Consider the following 22,205-nt stretch of genomic DNA (forward strand, 5'->3'; position numbering starts at 1 on the left):
CACTTCACTGAGTGAATGCAGGTTGATTTCCAATTCTGCTCTTCCACAAATTGGTTGTATTATTAGCAAATCACTAGCTCTTTCTGGGCTTTAGTTTTCTCATCTATAAAAGGAGAAAGTGAATCTAGTTACTGAAGCCTTCTTGCTTTTAAACAGGCTCTGGTTTTACAGCACCTGTATTAATCATCAAACAAATAGTAAAATAGCTTTATATGATATTAACCAAAATAACTTCATTCAAAATTTCAAATGTATCTTCATTATCTATTTCTGAGAAGCCACAACTGAAATTGAGACCTCAAGAATGCTCAAGAGCAAATACTCACATAGTCATCTGTGGCATCTTTGACAGCTGTCATAGTTATCACCAGGACCAAAGGCACAATGGTGGTAAACCAGGTCAAGGAGGAAATTTCTGGAATTAGCTGAAACAAACATTCCAAATAGTTTAGGGCTTTTAAAGTTAGAAAATATATCTTCCAAACTGTGTCATTTAATTTCAAATTAATGGGGTTATATTGACTTATTTGTACAAATGGAGAATGACTTTCAATAATTTAAGTGTTTGTATTTGGTTATAAGACACATAGAGTAGAATTATTATTGAACTTGTTTTCAAACTACCTAACCAAAAACTGAAATTTTTATAGCAAGGGGAGAAGCTTCTTGAAATCTCTCACAGATGATCACTTTCTCCAATATGTTAAATTTCACCCATCTTTTTCTGCTTTTCATCTCAACTTTTAACAATTTTACCAACTCCTCTTTTTACCAATTCCCAAAGAGAGATTGTTTGAACATCTGCCTTGCACCAGACACTGTGCCAGGTACTTTCCATTTATTACATCATTTAATCCTCGGAAAAGTTCATTGAGTTAGATTCCTACTAGGATTGTTTTTGTATAATCCCAGAAGGTTTGTATTCCACATAAATAGTACCCCCAGTACACAACACAGAATACTACATTATGACGGGTGACCAGGAGTCAGGAAATGTTGCAGACCTGGGTATCATGTCCCAATTTTATAAATGAAGAATCTAACAGGTCATGCAACTGGGCCAAGATCACATACTGTTAAAATTTGAAACTAGGTCTCTTGGACTCCAAGCCCTATTCCCTTGTGCCCATACCTCCAAAGCCACCCACATAAGAGAGACATAGTGACAGTGGACATAAATCTCTTAGGTGGTTTTCAAATGGGATTCATTTGAAAATCTGCTGCTTCGGGGCCATCAGGCAGGAAAGGATGGGGTAGAGACGGTCAGTGGCTAAAGATCAGGCCCCATCAAAACAACTCTAAATCAATTTTACATAGCAGCTTCCATGTAAGATTTTTTAAAAAAAACTCAAAAGCCTCTGATGTAGCAGTAAAAATGTTGAGCTTGGTGTCAGAAAAGCTAAATTCTAGTCCTAGTTCATCATCAACTCATGGTGAAAGCTTTACCACCTAATCTCTCTGGGTCTAATTTCTTCAGCAATAAAGAAAGGAGAGGTTAGACTGAACCATCCCAAAGTTCCCTTCTAAATATAAAATTCTATGAACAAGAGCCTTTGGCCACAAATGAGAAAGCCATTAGAGAAATGAATTCAAAATTCTGGAATGGTGTGAAGTGTTACTTGAAGAAACCAAAAGCAACTTCATGGGGAGAGGTGGGGGGAAGAAATTTGGACTCTAAGCTTTCTTCAACAAATAGTAAGATGTTTATTCATTGTTTGTTTTTGTTTTCCTGATCAGCACCCAGTTCTTCTCAAATATACTCCTATTTCTTAGGGAACCATCATATCCCCTCACTTTCTGTCCACATAACTTTAGGAAACTGATTCCACCATGGATCCAGGGTTTGGCATATGATCTTGGTTAAGCCAATTACTGGATCAAACTCTTGAGCCACAGTGACAGGTTTAGGAATGAAGATACAGCTCCAATCAGAACTAATCTCAAGACTTTTGCTGGAGCAACAGAAAAAGTAATTCCTTCATTCGTTTTCTCTCTCTCTCTTTCTCTCTTTCTCTCTCTCCCCCTCCCCCTCTCTGCCCCACTCTCTCTCTCTCTGACTTGAGTTGAAACCAGGAAGCTGTCAGGGCCACCAAGTAGAGGGCCTACCTAAGAAAGGCCAATGTGTGAAAACAAAAACAAAAACAAAACAAAACAAAAACAGAGAAAGAGAAGCCACATCCTGATGAAATTGTGCCCATGAATCCAGTAATACCTGAAATGAGATACCCATGAATAATTTATCTTTTGCTCAAACTAATTAAGATTTCTGTCACTTGAAACATATTCTTAAATAGATATTCAATTAAAGAGAAAACAGTACTCAAATCTATTAATCTAATCCATCTTCTTACTTCTTAGCCATTCTTGACCTACCAGTTTGATCTGCTTAAAGTATGCTAACATAAATACTAGGTAAATAACTGGCTAACATGAACTATTTATGTGTGTGTATAGTATGTATGTGTACAGTATATATGTAGCTTCCTTGATTCATATGTTTTTCCTTCCCAAAATATCCATAAAAGCTGAAATTTCATTTAAAGGCAAATTTTAGTTAGGAGAAAAAGCAAAGGTTACTAAATACCAATTAACCATTCAAAACTGTAAAAGTAGTCACCTACAGTGAAATAACATATAGCATCATCACTTTATATATATTAAAAATATGTCACTGTTCTTAAATGAAAATGAAATGTGCAGAATTAAGCTCTGCAACCTACTCAGTCTTAGTCACCTAAGATTCTGCCTCAACTCTGGCAATCCCCACACTGTAGATGTGAAAGGGAGATAAAGAAAGGAGGGAGGCTGTGAACAGTAATTATTAGGCTCTGGTTTGGTTCAAATAAAGTGCAAGGCTGTGTTTTAAAGTGACCTCAGTGTTTAAAATGATGAATGTACTACTTTTTAACCATTCCTACCTCTCCCACGTTTGTGAAAAGAAACAGCAACAACAAGATTAAAAATCTGATAAAGGATGATTGTACCTAATCACGAACATTTAGCTAAGTAAATTGACTTACTTTTTACAATTTTATGAATACTTTAAACAAACAGATAATAGAGAAATACAACCTAAATATTACCTGTAAAATCAGAAGGCAAAGAAAATAGGCATTTGCCACTCTTTGGAACTGTTCAAATAAATTAATTGGCAAGAAGGTGAGAATATTATATTTCGATGTGTGGATACGATTATCCTGGAAAAGAAATAGCATCATGTTAGTTTGGGGCAAGGCATTGCTCATGATCAGAAATAGCTCTAAAACCTACAAGCCTGAGCCAGAGTAAGAAAGATAAGCCGGTTATCTAGGAAATTTCAACTCTGTGTGGCTCAAGGCCTTCATTTTTCCCAAGATGATATGCTCCTGATACTAGATGAAATTACTGGTCCATGCCATAAACTCACCTGTAACTAAATATGTATCAAATGCAAAAGTCTACCCCTGAGATTTCTGACTTAAGCACTCAACTATTTGGCAGTCATTGCTTGAGTACCTACTGTATGCAGTATTGAGTTCCTGTTGGAGCCCGCAAGGCAGGAGGGAACTTCAGAAATCATCTGGTCCACCTTCCCAAAGCATGACCCTTTTAGATACCTCCGACAAGGGGCTCCTAGGTCTGTCTTAGAAGATCTCCTGGGATGGGAAACTGACTGCCTCGCAAGGCAGCCCGTCCCCATTTCAGAACGGGAATTGCTGGAATGGTCCTTATTATGAGGAACCCAAATCTGCCTCCCTATAACTTCTTTTTTTTTAATAACTATTTTTTTCTACTTTTATTTTAGGTTCAGGAGCATGTGTGCAGGCTTGTCACATGAGAGAACTACATGTCACTGAGGTTTGGTGTATGAATGATCCTGTCGTCAGGTAAAGAGCATGTTAGAGTGGGTGGAGAGCTAGACATTAACAGGAGGGGAGCTCCTGGGAAAGGAAACCTCTGGGAAGGCTCACACCTGAGGGACCACCCAAAATTTGCATATTAATGCCATTTCTAATGCTTGTCGGGGGGCACTTAGTCATATGTGGGTAGGAGAGCGAGAAGGTAGCCACACAGAAAGAAACACCGCGGAATGCCTCTTAAGACACCCCAATAATCATTCACTCTGCAGTTAAAATGTCAGAATGTCGTTAGCTACATGCTAATAAGAAGGGCAAAGGGGGCCAAGCACAGTGGCTCACGCCTATAATCCCAGCATTTTGGGAGGCAGAGGTAGGTGGATCACTTGAGGTCAGGAGTTCGAGACCAGCCTGGCCAACAAGATGAAACCCCCTCTCTACTACAAATACAAAAATTAGCCAGGCATGGTGGTGCACGCCTGTAATCCCAGCTACTGAGGAGGCTGAGGCAGGAGAATCGCTTGAACCCAGGAAGCGGAGGTCGCAGTGAGCCGGAATTGCACCACTGCACTCCAGCCTGGGTGATGGAGCAAGACTCTGCCAAAAAAAAAAAAGGAAAAAAGATGGGCAAAGGGGACATTACCAAGAGAAACCTGGCACCACAAGTACAGATTAGGACACACAAGGAAATTCCAAAGAGATATGTAGGCCCAACAGGTATAGATTTGACCACTATACAACCTTTCTGGGGTGGCAGCAATGAGCAGGGCCACCATCAGACAGGATTTGTACTGATCACCAGCCCACACATGCACATTAACCAACAGTAAGGGAGGGTCCCACAAGCCTAGGTGAGGAGTTAAGGCAGGAGCGGGAAAAACTAGGCAAAGGAGAAAGGTGGAGACTTGAGACAGGGGCAGTAATTTGCAGAAAAAGTCCAGCATGATAAAGCTCCCTGTGCAGAACCTTTGGAACTGTTTTCGCACAGGATCATCCCACTCCTCCTTTGGGGTGTACCCATTTTTCCTACAATAAGCTCTTTACAATATATTTCTTTTCAATAAAATTTTTTGCTATCTTTGTACTGTCTCTTGGTTGAAATCTTTCTTCCAAGTTAGACAAGAGCTGGGACATCCACTCTCCCTAGTAACAAGCATAGTATCCAATAGGTAGTTTTTCAACCCTTACCCCACCCTTTCACTCTCCTCACTCTAGTAATCCCCAATGTCTATTGCTGCTGTATATGTCCATGAGTACTCATTGTTTAGCCCCCACTCATAAGTGAGAACTTGCAGTCTTTGGTTTTATGATCCTGTGTTAATTCACTTCAGATAATGGCCTCCAGCTTCACCCATGCTGCTGCAAAGGACATGTTTCATTCTTTTTTTATGCCTGTGTGGTATTCCATGGTGTATATGTACCACATTTTTCTTTATCCAGTCCACCATTGATGGGCATCTAGGTTGACTCCATGTCTTTGCTATTGTAAATAGTGCCGTAATGAACATACAAGTGCATGTGTCTTTATGGTAGAACGATTTATTTTCCATTGGGTGTATACCCAGTAATTGGATTGCTGGGTCAAATACTAGTTCTGTTTTAGGTTCTTTGAGGAATTGCCACACTGTTTTCCACAATGGCTGAACTTATTTACACTCCTACCAACAGTGTATAAGCATTCCTTTTTCTCTGCAACCTCAACATCTGTTATTTTTTTTTCTTTTTTTACTTTTTAATAATGGCCATTCTGACTGGTGTGAGATGGCATCTCATTGTGGTTTTGATTTGCCTTTCTTTAATGATTAGTGGTATTTAGCATTTTTTCATATATTTGTTGGTCACATGTATGTCTTCTTTTGAGAAGTGTCTTCTTGCCACATAGCAAATTCCATGCCTGGGGTCACCTAGACCAAGTCTAAGGCCTTTCTATGTTGATAACCTTCAAATACTTGAGAACCACTCATAGGACTCCCATAAATATTTATTCTGACTCAGACATTCCCAAACCTTTCAACCATTCTCTATGATTTATTTTACAGACATTTCTTCCCAGTGAGGCTCTTTTGGGTCCATCCCAGCTTCTCTGCATCTCTCTTAAAACATGATGCCTAGAACCAAACACAACTGCAGATCTAGCTCAACAAGTCTATGTATAGTAAGGACTTTGATGTCCTGTGTTCTGAACTATTGTACTGACATGTCCAAAGATTTCATTGGCATTCTGGCAATTGTGTCTCACTATATCTTCATATTAAGTTTTGATCAACAAAAATTCCTAGATCATTTCTACATAAATCACTATTAAATCATCTTTCCCTTTCTATACATTTATAGTTGGTTTTTAAAATATTTATGTATACATCTTTCATATTTCCTATTACACCAGCCTAATGAAAAAATATTTAATCTTGAGTATACTATCTAAAGCATTAAATATTCCTCCCAGCTTTGTGTCATCAGAAAATTTCAAACACATGCCTTTTATATGTTCTTCCAAAGCTGTAGACAAATATACATTAAAAAAAAAACAGGCTAAATGCACCAAAAGAAATTTTAATTAAACCAATAAAGCTATGGCAAACTACTAGAGACCTCTCTACAAATTAATGTTAACAATTTTTTCAGGTTTAATATGTTTTATATAAAACATATTAAATATGTTTTATTTAACCACTTGTAAAGCCATGTAACTATATTATTTGAGGCTTAATTCTATCCTATCCACAAAGATAACATGAGAAATTTGGGGTGACAGATATTACTGAAATTCAGAATCAATATGCCCAGAATAATATTTTTTAAATGAGGTTAGTTTGGGGTAACTTGTTTTAGGTGAACCTACACTGGCTCCTAGCCATCACTCCTATCTGTTTTTTTAGAGTCCAGTCATCTGTTAAATGACCATTTTTAACATTTGATATGGTTGGGCTGTGTCCCTACCCAAATCTCATCTTGAATTGTAGTTCCCATAATCCTCACATGTCGTAGGAGGGACCCGATGGGAGATAACTGAATCATTAGAGTGGTTACCCTGATGCTGCTATGCTCATGATAGTGAGTGAGTTTTCACAAGATCTGACCATTTTATAAGGGGCTTTCCCTTCTTTTGCTCAGCACTTCTCCTTGTTGCCTCCATGTGAAGAAGGACGTGTTTGCTTCCCCTTCCATCATGACTCTAAGATTCCTTAGGCCTCCCCAGCCATGCTGAACTGTGAATTAATTAAACCTCTTTTCTTTATAAGTTACCCAGTCTCAGGTATGTCTTTATTAGCAGCATGAAAACGGACTAATACAACATTTGTCAGGAATCAAGGTGTCCAGTTTTGTGCTACAAGTTCTGGGAAAATAAGAAGAGATGTCAAGAGAAGAGTTTCCAGCTTAGTTGGTCTGATGCACATTAATGTACTGAAAACCGTTCTGAAAGCTAATAATGATGATATTGCAGTATGTTAACTACTCAAGAAGTTAACACACTGCAAAATAGGGTGTTGGTACTGTCAATCACATGTTTTTCTAAAGAAAGGATTTGGAGAAAAGAATGGGGAAGATTAAAGCTAAGGAGAAAATACAGTTAAATAAGGAGCTCACATTCCTAATTCTGTTTTATATTTTCCTTCTAACTTAAAGCTAAAATAGAGGTTAGCCTAGCATCTTGCAAAAAGGACATATGCAATGTCTATAACTGTCAAAACCACGGCAGGAATTATAAAGACACTCTCCTACAAAACTGAGTTCCATATAGGTAAAGAGCTAATTCTGTGGGATAAATAATGCCAAACAGAAACTATGACAATTTTCTCCTATTTGCTTAGCATGACATATAGCAATGATTGTGTTTGTTCTACTCGTTCTGTTGTAACTTAGTCACAGATGATGAAAACCCTCACAGCTTTGAATGGGAACAAGGAACAAGGGCTCCCCCTCCTGGAAAATCTCTGGGCCAGTCTACTTTTCTTTGTTTTTCAACCAAAAGCAAAACACATTTCCATTTCCACTGCCCTGTCCAAGCATATGAGTACTGCATTGGTAAGACCTTAAATCAGGCACATTAATATTTAGTCATTTCATAGGCTATAGGCCTACAGTCCAATCTGAGTACAGTTCATTCCATAATAAGGCACAGAAAGATCTTCACCACTATCCTCTCAGAAGTACTTTCCCACCATGAATGACTACAAACATCCCAATCCAGAAGAAAAGGAGTAGACTCCACGGAGCCTCTTTGGTGCTGATAAAAGCCAAACTAGAGGCCACGGCATTAGCTTGTTAGTGAGGAGGAATGGTTAACAGATTCCATGATGAGGTAGGCTTGGGCTCACAGTCACAGGTGATGCCAGACCAGGGCAGGGTCCCACATAGTGGGAAAGTGCCTCCCCGTAAATGAATGTGAGGAAGCACATGTTCCCTGTGGAAAATGTGCTTCCAAGAGGGAGAAGGGCAAAGATGAGCTGAGGCCCATTATTCCTCCAAGATTGGCCCATCGGGTCAATGACTTCATCTCACATGTGGCAGAGTAGTAATGGAGTTGGGAGAGAGTGTCACACCAGTAGAGAACCCTCCACCTGGAAGGCAATGTCATTGCTTCTCTAAAATATTTTAACGCAAAGGCCCTTAGGTAGGCAAAAGGTGGCACACTTGGGGATCTAGAAGAGGGCCTATGAGGCTGGACTGCAGAGATCAGCACAGACTAGATGGAGTAGTTCCTCAGAATACATACTAAGAATTTTAGTCGTCCTTATTATCAAGACCAAAAGAGTCTTTATTATAAAGACTAATAAAGACTAAAATCCTAAGTGAAGGGGGAATTACTGAAACATCTTAAGCAAAGAAGTAACTTGAGATTTTTATTTTAAAATATCACCCTAGCTAGGTGGAAAACAAATCAGTGGTAACACAAGAATAGATATGAAAAGAGCGATGAGGAGGTCTTTGCATTAGTCCAGGTGAAAGATGATGCACAGCTTGGATCAGGGTGGGGACAGAAGGAACGACCATGAATGGTAATAATTACTGACATTTATCAAGCTCTTACTATGTGTACTAAGAGTTTTACATTTTACAGCTCATCTTATCCCACAACATTCTTATGAAATAGGTACTATTATTTCCTTTCTGTAGAAGGGAAATCCAAGGTTCAGAGAGATTAAGTAACTTACTAACTTACACGAGTTGACACAGCTTGTAAGTGGTGATTGTAAGAGCCAGGATTTGGATCTAGCAATAGACATTCTGCTCCAGAGCCCACCCTCTTCACCACTGTGCTGCCCCAATTCATTGCAAAGCAGTTATCTCTTCTGCTTTCAGAGTAATCTGCCCTTGCTCTCTCTTCCAGTCTGCATTTCAAGCCTGCTGCCACTTTCTTACCAAAGGAAATTCAGTTTATTTACCTTCTCCTCTCTAGTCAAGCCCTTCAGGCAGAGCCCTCGTTCTACTGCCTGATGTATGCTTACAGTTTCCTTGGATTCTCTTTCAGTTCCCCTCAAGAATGATTCTCTTGGCCCCTAACAAAGCTCAATGCAGACAAATAGTAGACATAACCACTCCCTTACTTTAGCTTTCAACAGAAGCACAGTGGCCAAAGTCCTTTATATTTCCAGCATTTACTACTTGGTGGGGGGGTGGGGTGAAGGTGGGGAATAAAGTAAAGAAAATGGAGTAAAAATGACAAATTTTTCAGAGATGGGCTACCAAATAAAATATTAATAAAATGGGAAGTATTATTTTTTCTAGAGATCCTCATTATACATGCAAATTAAGTATATTGCTTAAGTAAACAAAGCAAATAGAAAATAACAAACTCTGCTATATTAGCAAACATTTGGAGCATTTGGGAGATTGCCTCAATTTTTCCACTGGCAAAATGGAACTAATAACATTTCTCATATATTTATAGGACTATCATGGAAATGAGAGCATAGATGTAAAAATATTTCTGCTAAATTGAAAGAATTATGCAAATATAGGATTTTTGTGAGTGATCCCAAATAATTCAACTGTATCAAGAAATGCAATGTACTAGTCAGGATAACCAGCTATGCTACAGTAATAACTCCAAAATCTTCACAGCTTAACCCAGTAAGAGTTTGTTTCTTGTTCATGCTACTTGCCCAACATGAGTCTCCTCATCAGATACTCATAACGGAGCACCCACCATCTCCAATGCTTCGAGGTATATTACCAGAGGAAAAAGAAGCTCTGAACAGTCTCACTCTCAAATGTAATGCTTCAACCCAAATGCTCACAACTTACTGGCCAAAAGAGTCACCATGGGTCCAAAAGACAGAAAGCTAGAAACATTAATGGATATCACTAATGGCTATTGCAACCAGTAATGGACGCTAACCTAGTATTTTGAGAGTAAGAGACATATCTACTAGCAAATATATCAAAAACCAACTGGCTGGGCACGGTGGCTCACGCCGGTAATCCCAGCACTTTGGGAGGCTGAGGCAGGCGGATCACAAGGTCAGGAGATCGAGATCAGCCTGGCTAACATGGTGAAACCCCATCTCTACTAAAAATACAAAAAAATTGGCCGTGTGTGGTGGCAGGTGCCTGTAGTCCCAGCTACTTGGGAGGCTGAGGCAGGAGAATAGCATGAACCCAGGAGGCTGAGCTTGCAGTGAGCCGAGATCGTGCCACTGCACTCCAGCCTGGGCGACAGAGGGAGACTCCGCCTCAAAAAAAAAAAAAAAAAAAAAAAAAACAAAAAAAAAAAAACACCAACCTCAGCACTTTAAATTCAGTCCTGTTAACGACACATGTAATATTCCTTTGACTATTTCCTCTCCCCATCAGCTAAACAATGTGCCAAATTCCTTAGTTTCACGAACTGGATAGATTCATCTCCCATCCATAATTCCAGGGTCAAATTAGCTTAAGGCAAGTACATGGCCCACCCTCCTAATTACAATTTTGAATTCAGACACTGGCACATAAACTACGTCAATTCTGAAATTTGCTGATAATGTAAGCTTTCTCTTTTCTATTGCATTCCAATCTGGAAACAAGTAGCCCTAGAGATTACTAACAGCAACTTGGGGCTATGAGTGGGGAGGCTGCCAAGAACAAACTCCGCACTAAAAATGCAGGGCCAAGAAATGCAGAGAAAGAAACTAGACCAAGCCTCTCCTGAGACTAGCCCTATCTCTGGACTTTTCAGCTACATGATCTGTCCATTCAACTCAAACTAAGTCAATTTGAGTTGGTTTTTCTTTTACTCTCAACCAACCAAACACCAGGTAAGAACATTCATAATATATGCAAGATCAGTTTGCTTTTTAAATAATAGCTTACTTGTATCTCTATGTTTGTCTTAAAGAATGCATCCCAGAAGGCTTAAACCCAAATGAGCTCAGCAGTTGTCCAGAGACACTGCCTACGTCTATGAATCCCACAAGCCCCAGGAGCTTTTGCAATCAGTACCACAGTTTCCTCACTATCAAATCATCATCCCACATTTGATGAAACATTTGTACATCATGACAACTATAAAAAGTAACCTTCCAGAGCTTGAGGGGGAAAACATCTAGCCCTTCTTGCCACAAAAGGAGGCAAATACAGTATTTTTATGGTACAATCCAGATTCCAGAGACAGAAATAATCCTGACTAATAAGGGAGAGATTATCTCTAAGCCATAAAATAAAAAACAAAAAGGGATTGTGTCCACAAACTACTGGCATAAAAGAGGAAGTAGCCAAAAGGCATTTGTACCGCTCAGAAAATATGTGAATTACCCATGTTCATGCAAAGAACCCAAAAGAATGCATGTATGGGACCTGGAGATTAGACATCTGGTACCTCACTGATACCAGGAAGAACCCCTGGTAGTTCCTCAGTATCAGCTGACTGTTGCCTGGTGCAGAGTCCACAGCTTTCCAGGATAGGGGCAATGGAAAGACGACAGTGCTCTTCTACGAACGCTGCTGAGGAAGCCTCAATCACAGAAGAGGCTTTGCAGAGTGTGTCAATCAATACTGACTACACTCATCATCACCACCACCACCACCACCATCATCTTAACGTTCTCCTGAGCCTCAGCTCCCAGACTTGAGCAGAAAACGTGTATGAGGAGGCAAAGAGCAGAGGGCACATATCCCCCAACATTCATTCATTCATTCATTCAACTAATTTTTGTTAAAGTCCTTCTGTGCTTCAGGCAATAATGTTATTGAGCCAGGGCTACAGACATGAGTAAGCAAAGACCCTCCCATCATCGAGTAAGTTTGTATGTTAGTTGTGGAGAGAGAGGCAGGAACAAGCAGACAATAAACTTGTAAACTGATGACACAATTTCAGGAGGTGATCATCAAATACTATGACAAAAACAATGAACAATAGAGCAAGAGCACCTTGCCTGCCAAGACTCCCTCAGGAAGCCTTCTTGCTTGATTTTCCAGGTTAATGCAGTATCAAGATTACCCTACTTGGTGAGACCAGTGGGAATACGTGTCCCCTAGGGGTGCTCGTTTCCTGGGTGCCCAAAAGAATCCTTTGGGCTATGAGAAATAAAAAAGAACTTCATGTATATTTTAACTAAAAATGTTAAAGTTACTAACATTTAATTACTATACACAATATATGTATATGTATATGTGTATATATATATATATACACACACACACACACACACACCTATAGCAAAGACAATATAATATCTATATTATCTATAGTAAAAACATATAGTACACACATGCATATATGTGTATACACACATATAAATATTAACAGTAAAGACAATCTATGCATTGTCTATATGTATACACACATATAGATTAATTTCTTTTTATTTTTTTATTTTTTATTGAGACAGAGTCTCGCTATGTTGCCCAGGCTGATCTCGAACTCCTGGCCTCAGGTGATCCTCCCACCTCGGCCTCTCACAGAACTGGGATTACAGGTATGAGCCACCACATTCGGTCAGATTTAATTTTCTTTTACAAGTGAGGAACATGCTCATAAACTTTGAAAACTGTGGACTAAACACTTATGGACAAAGGAGCTCATCTGTGCCTCCTCCTTTTAGATCTCATGTCACTAAGACTTGGGCACATAATGGAGAACATATAACTTTCTATGTCATAGATTCTCTGGGTCATACAGTGACACCAGATAATGGTATTGCCTCCTTCCATCTCCAGGCGCTATGCTGAACACTATATCATCTCAGGCAGTCCTTAAAAAATCCAATGAGCTGTGACTATTTCAGCACCATTTTACAGATGAGGAAACTGAGGCTTTGAACAGTTGTGAGGGTTGCCCATAAAAGCAAGTATTGTACAATCCTGTGTTCTCCCAAATGGTGTTTCGTGAGCAACGAGTCAGAAACTAGGAAGTCTCTAGACTGCCTTTTGGTTAATGGACTCACTGGCCCTCATCCGACATCCTTCACTCTGGTGAAGAACAGAACCTCTCTAAACTAAAGCACAGTGAAGAGCTCACATTAATTCAATCAGCTGGAGCAGTCACTTCCAGTCCTTTCAATCTAGGGAGAACATTGCTGGGCTTGTCTAGGGAGCTCATTTTCCATCTAGACCCCAGGAACAGAGATAGTGGCCAGGAAAGCTTTCAGGCCTCTGTCTCCCCACAAAGCAAATCTGCCTGACAGCATCACAAACTTTGTTCTCTTTTCTACCTTCCAGCCTTAATTTAGGGTTCCAGTGTCTGAAAGACAGTTCTAGAGCTAGTAAATGGCCTAGGAATAGTAATTTATCTACAAAGAACTAATTTTGGATAATTATCAGGGGAACAAATTAAATTTCCCTCTGAGATTAATTTAATCACACTAATTTTTTTTTCTCCAGGGTGTTTAGACGTATATAACATTTTAAGTAGTTGCAGTAAAATGTTTACTTTCTTTTTGTGACATCTAAAAAGGGACTGAAAATACAGACAGAAAGAGAGAGAGAGAGAAAAAGACCTAGCATATGCCTTCTCCAGAGAGATAAGAAGAAGGCATACAAAAGAGCAAAAGAAAAGAAAGCAAAGATTGTATTTCAGTGGGACTTTCCTGGGGCATCCCTAATGATCTGTTTGCCTCCTATCTCTGCTGGCTAGAGCTCATCTATGCCTCCTCCTTTTAAATCAACTGGGGATCTAGGGAGTCAGCCCTCAGCTTTGGCCCACGAATTCGTCTTATCCTGAGCTTTAGGGATCTTGTATGATCAGAGTGGGCATTTCTTTGAGTTGAGGTGGGGGCTGGCTTGTTCAAGCCCATTTCCTGAACTACAACTTTGGACAACTTAGTGCAGATGGACTGCTTTGTTTATTTGGTCTGAAAATTAGACCATGTTCACACTGCTGTGTAGTCTGGGAACTAGGCCAAATTTCAAGACCTCAGTGTTTACAACAATAAGAAAGACACAATGGAAAAGTCCAGTTAACGTGGAAAGGCACCCATAAAGAATTTTCCAAAGGGCCAAAGAGTTATAATAGCACACGATACACAGTCTAATCCTTCCTAGCACTCTACTTCTTATACTAGAGTTCTACATAAATAACACCACCTCAGGGGTAGCCATGCAATTTTCTCCTGAACCTCTAAGGATCAGATGGAAAGTACATGCAGTTGTCAGCACCCTCTGCCATGCCCAGGGGGTACTGGAGCAACTGGGACCCTGATCCACTCATGAAGGTGTTCTCCTGCAACAGTCCTAGCCTTTCCTGGTCTCCAGCCCCTTCACAGCCAGGTTGGGGAGTAAATCTATATTCAAACAAACCCACAACACCTGGCTTTGTGGTTTTTTTTTTGTTGAGTGGCTTTTGTTTGGGAGTAGAGGTGTTGAGAGGGAGAGAATAGAAGACCAGGAAATACAGAAGGAAAATTCTCCACATGGGGCAGGTAGGGGAGGGCAGGGAAAAAAAAAAGAGTTTTAAAGCATCTTCTATCATTAAAACACATCAATAATAATTTATGAATAAAGTGCCAATCTTTAATTTTTGTGATTATATCATGCACAACGGGTTTGAGGAATTTTCACCAAATTTGAGGTTATGCTTGAGATAGTCTGAGTTAAATAAAGACTATCATAAATTTGCTTTGGGGGACTGACAATGGAGTTCCCTGATTACATATACAAAAATAGGCATTTGCCTTCTGTAGGAGCCAACAAGGAGATTCAATAAGAAGCCCATGTGGATGCTGAGCAGAGCAAGAGCTGCACGGTGAGAAGATGCACAGCGAGTCTCCAATCAAAACTCACTAGGCCAGATCCTCTAAGTCACTGAACTGATTTGCAACTGAGCCACTTCTACGGGAACAATTCTAAGTACCAGGCTTCAGGTCAAATAACAGTGTGACTTAGTTGTTTAATAGTTAATGATCCACCAGAGCATCACTAGGAAGGCCAGCTAGGAATAACTGTTAACGTACAAAACTGTGAAATAAAGCAAACTAGATCCTTTCCCCTGTTCCTTGAATGAATGAATGAATGAACAAATGAATGAATGAATCAAGGGCTCTGGCTGCAGTTCCTGAACCTCCTCCACCATCTCATTTCACTGCCTTCATAATCCTCTTCCCTAGTGCATTCCTCATCCATGTTCCTTTTCCCGATTCACTCCATCTGGCATAAGGGTTAGAAAACAAAGTTCATCCAGACACTTATGCAAGTGTGTCAGTTATTCAGGAGGAAGAAGCCAGAGAAGTCAGAGGGTTTGGAGGAACAAAATCAGGAGGCTTGTCAGAGGAATAGACAACTGTGCCCAGTATCCCTCCCTCTGAGGGTGACCAGGGGTGCTATCAATGAGACAAGGGACTTGAAGGGCTGGAGGAGGCAAAACCTAGGGGTCTGTGGCCTGAGCCCTTTTTTAGAAACTGGTTTTCCCCAAATGGTTAATATTTCTTGGTATATAACTCCACAAGATGTCAAGCCTGCTTTAGATATTCTCTTCCCACAATTGTCATTTCCAGTACTGTAAAATGAGTTGCCTATACCCTCAGTAAGGAAACTGAAACCCAGAAAGGCTAAAAGGCACTTGCCTCGGCCGAGCCAGAGCCATGACCCACAGCGTCCCCTGGGTTTCTAGGAAATTTTCTGATTCCAGAACTAAAGAAAAGCTGCCACTAGGAAGGAAGGAGGGCAGGCAGACATGCCGTACTGAAGGGAACTACTTATGTGACAAGACAGATCACCTCAAGCCTTAAACTTAATACACGCAGGTTAAGAACAAAGACCTTCCTCACAAACCTGGTTTCAGGAAAGCTTCAAGAACTTCTTGAAGACATTTTTCCCAAAAAATCTACTCATATTCACCACAACGAAACAACAATCCAATTAAATAATACTTGAGTGAGTGCAATTTTCCCAAGAGATATTTAGAAAAAAGTGAGGGCTTAGAGTCCTGAATCTGAAAAGTGATTCCATGTTTTATCAACTAAGTGACCTTTCTCTTAATTCCTCCAATCCTTCATTTCCCCCATGTAAATTTGCATGGGAATACCTGCCATGCAGAGTTGTTGTGAAGATTAAATGAGATAATACATGTAAAGTGCTTAGCATTGTGCTTGACAATTAAATACTTTCCCCGCCCCGCCCCCACCACCACCTCTTTGCTTTTGCCAAAATCTTCCAGGCACTACTAACTAAAATAAGAGAGAATCAGTTCAGAACTTCTGAAACTCAAATATGTATATGAATCATTTCGGTTTTTGTTAAAATGCAGTGATACACCTGGAGTTTTGTGGTGGGGCCCGAGAGTCTGCATTTCTAACAAGCTCCAGGTGAGGCCAATGATGCTGGTCTGTCTGTGGACCACACTTCAAGAAGCAGAGTATTAAAGAGCTCTAAGAGTTTTGATAGGCACAAATTGCTGTGATATAGGAAAGGTTGCATGCAGCTTTTTCAAAAGTTGATATAAGTTAAATTAGTACAAATCCAAGGGAGTCCCATTTGTGCACTAGAGACTATGAACTTTAGGAGGTACTGGATTCCCCCAGTAGGTCGTGGAGTTGAATCAATGTCACAGATGAAACACTGAAATGCCTTACTCCGAGATTTAGGCTAGAAGTACAATGTGCCCTTTTGACTCAGCTGAAGATATTTTTCTGGACTTCGTTTTCAATCCTTTAAGAGAAGTATATTGGATAAAAAAAAAATCAGTGAAAAATCAGATTTTTTTCCCTCCACTTTCAATTTAAGCTCTGGCAAATAAAAAGATCAGATCAAGCATCAAATTGGAAAATAAAGGAATCATGGAGGAAATTCCACAGGAATGTGGAAGCAAGAAGGAGCATAACAGGCTGAGGAAAAGGAATAGGGATCAAAGATATTCTTATTTTTAAAAAATGTACATCCCAAAGTACACAGGCATCATTTCCACAGGCAATAGCATATAGGCCCTGAACGGTTTCAGGAATTTAGTAATAACTATTTGTTGATAAAACATAAATTCATAACTATTCCAATGTCAAAATATCTGATTGATTTTAATAAGCCTATATAAAACTCACATTTGAATTAAAGAAACAAAAAAAATTAACTGCTTTTCATATTTAAAGCATTCAATTCCAGTATACCCTGGAAGTACTTTTCAGTGAGCTCATCATCTTCAGTCAGTTTAGGTTTAGATCTACTTAACATGTGACTGGCACTTGGCTTTTTGAGTAGCCAAATGGTTCCCCAAATCCAGACAGGGATTCAAAGTATAGTGCAAGTTGGGAAGTTTTCAAGCCAAGTCAGGTCATTTTTACACTACATAAATGAAACATGGTATTTTACCATTCTTTCATTCTCTTTGAAAGACATTACCAATATGAACAACTTTAAGAAAAGAAATGCATTTATCTCTTCCTAGAAAATTATCTTCCTTACTCAGATACAGTGAAAATGTTTATTATAAGCTAACACTATTCATTTTCATACTTAACTTTGTAATGTCTAATACTGTTATTTCATTTATGCATGTGAAATAATCTCAAAATTCCAAGAGTTCCTGAAGGGCTGAGACCTTATACGTTTTTAAGTGTCTAGAGCATTTAACAAAGTGATAAGCAAGAATTACTCAATACGTGTGATATAGTTTGGATGTGTGTCCCCACCCAAGTCTCATATTGAAATGTAATCTCCAGTGTTGGAGGTGGGGCCTAGTGGGAGGTGATTGGATCATGAGGGCAGTTTCTAAGGGATGGCTTATCACCATCCCCCTTGGTACTGTCCTTACAATAGTGAGTTCTAGTGAGATCTTGTCATTTAGAAGTGTATGTCACCTTCCCACTCACTCTCTTGCTCCTGCTTTCACCATGTGATGTGCCTGGTCCCCCTTCACCTTCTACTATGTTTGGAGGCTTCCTGAAGCCTCCCCAGAAGCAGATGCTGCTATGCTTCCTGTACAGCCTTGTAGAACTGAGCCAATTAATCCTCTTTTCTTATAAATTACCCAGTCTCAGGTACTTCTTTATGGCAATGCAAGAACAGTCCAAGACAACATGGCTGATAAACCCAATTGGAAAAAATACAAAATAATATATGAGAGGAAGACAATTCCACTTATGAGAAAATAACATGAGCTAATATAATTTTTCATAATTAATGATGCATCACAATAATTTTCAGTACATAACCTATAGAACTTCTTTTGCCAGAGAAAGATAGGCATTAGCACAAATATAGATTTTTCACATTATTTAGCACAACATGCAGTTTATTAATTTTCTCATATCAGAGTACAAGGGAGAAAAAAAATCAAATATTCCTTTAGCTCATTTTCTCACCTAGAAAAGCATTTCTTTTTCTGCAAAGCATTGCAAAGAAGTTCAGCTCATTTGTGCTTCTAACCTCAAAATCGTCTTTCTTAGGACAATGGCGTTTTTGTGGTATTGAATCTACAAGAGTCTTTGAAATATCACACATGGTACTAAGTGGTTTGCAAGAATCATAGGAATATGACTTGGGGAGGAATCTTCAAAGTTCAGTTATTCATTCTATCCTTCTGCTTCCATACATGTAGAAATAATCTAAACCAGCACTATAATAGATGTCTTTAAAAAAAAAAAAAGCCTTTCTGCTTATTAAGACAGAGAGCAATATTACTACATAATTAAACAAAAATTGGGCTGCCAGCAAAGACAGTTCATTATAGAAATTGGAACTAGCTAAGTAAACAAAATGTAATGATTAATGGCCCAACAGCAACCTATAGGGAGGTCTCTAGTGATAAGACGCATGGCCATGTTCTTCATTGTGTTGTGCTCAGTATTTTTATTATTAACTTAGATCAGTGATTAATCCAGGTTGCCCATTAGAATCACTAGGGGAGCTTTAAAAAAAAAAATGCCTGGACTCCACCCCTAAAGCTTCTGATTTCATTGGCCCATTTGTTTAACTATCAATGACAATACAGAGAGATGCTAAAGTCCACATAGATACAATAATAAAAGGAATAGTTTAATGACAGAGTAAGTGCCTATTATGTGCCAACAAGCCCTATGACAAGCAAGATATGGAGATAAATGTGACACGGTTCTTGTCATTAACAATAAAAATAAAATTAATATGAGATTAATAGACTCAACAGTCACTGAAAAGATAGTACAGTCTTAGACTGTATTAATAATCTTTCTCTACTTCAAGATGGTCAAATAAATTCTAGACTATTGTGTTTGACTTTGGAGGAACCCACTTGAAGAAGTTATAGAAAAACTGAGGCTCTTTGAAAAGAAAAGGAATAGCAGGTGATTTTCCTGGAGATCTGTTTATTTGATGAATTTGTGTTTGATATTTTAAACACAAATATCTGAAGTGTTGTTGCATGAAACAGAAGACATGTTTGCTCTGCTTTGGTCTCTGAAGAAAAGCTAAAACAATGGAAAATAAAGCAAGAGAATATCAATTTGGCTCAATTGATGGAAAAATTACCTAATGATTAAAACTACCCAAAGAAAGAAAAGGCTGTTTGGGGAGGTAATGAGGTCCCCTCTTCTAAAGGGATAAAAGCACAGACAGGACATGGAGTTGGTTAGAATTCTGTAAAGAGAGTTGAATGGAAAAGCTTTAAAGGATAATTCCACACTGAGATTCCACAGTGTATTGTACTGAAGCTAATTTCCTTGCAGTACCTAAGAAATCAGGTTTTTCCTTTTGTATAAAAAAAGCCCTTCTTCCCTAAACTTTTGGACAATTGGTACACAATGATGTCACCATCTATAACTTACCTAGATGACACCTGAACAGCCACATCTGTAATGATGTGAACTGACAACCAAGGAGGACACATAAAACCCAGTACAATCAGGACTGCTAGAGACACCAAGTCAAGGGTATCAGGAGCTAGAGATTTAGATCAACAGTCTTGGCATGTGACTCTGATTGCTGTCCTCTGCTTAATTCCTCTGAGAACAGTCTCTCATTATTCAAGCAAAAACATCCTTACAAAACTGTATACACTTCCTCACAACTACAACACTACCTCCGTGCACACAGTCATGCAATAGACACAGATTTATTGACAAATATATAGCCCAAGTCTTGGATCATTTTTAAAGAATTTTCAAGTTTAATGCCTAAGTAGCTTACTTTTGTAATAAACCTGCAAATTGTATACTTGATGTATTAGTCTATTCTCATGCTACTATAACAAAATACCTGAGACTGGTAATTTATAAAGACAAGAGGTTTAATTAGCTCATGGTTCTGCAGGCTGTACACAAAGCATAGAGGCTTCTGCTTCTGAGGAAGCCTTAAGAAACTTGCAATCATGGCAGAAGGCAAAGGGGAAGCAGGCACATCTTACACGGTTGAAGCAGGAGCAAAAGGGAGAGGGAGGAGGTGCTACACACTTTTAAACAACCAGATCTCAGGATAACTCACTGTCACTATCATGAGAACAACACCGAGGGGATGGTGCTAACCCACTCATAAGAACTTCACCCTCATAATCCAGTCACCTTCTACTATGCCCCACCTCCAACACTAGCGATGACAATTCGACATGAGATTTGGTGGGAACACAGATCCAAATCATATCATTTGATAATTGCTATGAGAGTAGATTTTAAGTGTTCTCATCATAAAAAAATGATAAGTTATGTGAGATAAGGCATATGTAAATCAGGTCGATTTAGCCATTTTGTAATTTATACATATTTCAAAACATTATGTTGTGTACTATAAATATATACAATTTTTATTTGTCAAAAAAAAGAAACTACATAGAAAATCAGGTGTAAAATGTGACAGTAATCTGGTACTAGTTTCATAATAGTGGACATGAAGTTAAGATCACCTTGGTACATAAATGATTTGATCTTTCAACAACAAAATGTAAAACATGATTGTTACCATCTTTTAACAATAAGATTCCCAGAACCAGACCATTTGGTCCAGTAAAGAAGATTGCAAAACAAGATAAAAACCACTTTGAGACCGTTGGGGTTAGTGGTTTTTTTCCGTTAACCTCTCAATTGTTACTAAACTTGCCCAATTTCATCCACACAGTTGATTTATGGATTATTTTCATGAACCATTTGCCAACAAAGGAAACTCCATTTATAGTTCCTTCTTCACAAGTAACTTACTCTTCTTTCTATGTAATCTTTTCATTTCTCAATCTTAAATTTATTCCATTACAGCCAAGCTATAACAGAGCAAAATTCTGCCATCAAAAATTGCTTATTTTAACTCTTGTAATTCCAATTACATATTGCTTGCATACTTTTCAGTTTTGTACCATTGCAGTGAAGAAAGTAAAAATAAAAATAAATAAATAAGCCAAATCTGTTTTTTTAACTTAAAATTTACTTCTCAAAGCAGATGGAATGGGAACTAGTTTATGAGGATGCTGAAATTATCTCAAGCCTGGAACAGGTAAATAACAAACAAATACCTCAGAGAACTTACCTAGATTCTTTAATTACTTTAATATGCCATTTTAGAACATTTAGGAATAGAAATTCAGAGGCCAGAAAAAAAAAAAAAAAGATTAAAACAGGCAAACTAAATTAGGGAAACAAGAAACCAGACGAATGCTTAGCCAAAGAATAACACTATTTAAACAAATCAGATGTCAAAAAGATAAAAAATATTTATGTTTTTATACTCTTGAATCCAGAAAGAAAATGAATTTGAGAGATATCCAAAAAATATATTTTCTCCTACAAGTAAATTATTTATAAAGAAAAAAATTAAAACCTTTGCCATGTCAAACTTAGAATAACATACACAGATATTAACAGCACACAAAACAGAAGCCATTTTCAATGTTTGCTAAAAAGCCACTGTTACTATGGTGATGCCCCAATACAAAAAAGCAACAACTAACAACCAGAAACCCATAACAAATGCAAGTTACTGGTGCTTTCCATGACTAATTCCAACGTGTCACACTGCTTGTCATCATCTGTACTCTTTAGTTGGTGCATCTGGTCATCAGCC

At 38.6% G+C, this 22,205-nt stretch overlaps 1 protein-coding gene across 40 annotated transcripts in view, besides 1 other annotated feature; it reads right to left on the reverse strand.

Annotated features, from left to right (window-relative positions):
- ATP8B4 (ATPase phospholipid transporting 8B4 (putative)) overlaps positions 1-22,205 on the reverse strand; it is a 323,617-nt gene that overhangs the window by 186,030 nt on the left and 115,382 nt on the right. For 28 of the 40 annotated variants that reach the window (NR_073597.2, NR_073596.2, NR_073598.2 and 25 more), the window contains 2 exons: positions 3,084-3,197; positions 327-425 (listed from right to left, as the gene is read on the reverse strand). The exons of 9 other annotated variants lie outside the window; for them this stretch is intronic. Coding sequence is in view for 25 of the 31 variants with exons in the window: in XM_011522056.4 (XP_011520358.3) it covers positions 327-425; positions 3,084-3,197 (213 nt within the window). In the remaining 6 variants the exon portion in view is untranslated. Of the gene's footprint in view, positions 1-8; positions 104-326; positions 426-3,083; positions 3,198-22,205 lie in introns of those variants that run through there. 3 more of the 40 variants (XM_011522061.1, XM_011522060.1, XM_011522059.1) reach the window with 2 other exon arrangements.
- Positions 14,005-14,299: a silencer, noted in NCBI's record as "tiled region #7155; HepG2 Repressive non-DNase unmatched - State 24:Quies". NCBI's record gives its function as "represses a minimal TATA promoter and a strong SV40 promoter by Sharpr-MPRA in HepG2 cells {active_cell/tissue: HepG2}" and the evidence as "EXISTENCE:reporter gene assay evidence [ECO:0000049][PMID:27701403]".

The sequence above is a fragment of the Homo sapiens genome, chromosome 15 (assembly GCF_000001405.40).
Source record: "Homo sapiens chromosome 15, GRCh38.p14 Primary Assembly".
Classification (NCBI taxonomy): Eukaryota; Metazoa; Chordata; class Mammalia; order Primates; family Hominidae; genus Homo; species Homo sapiens.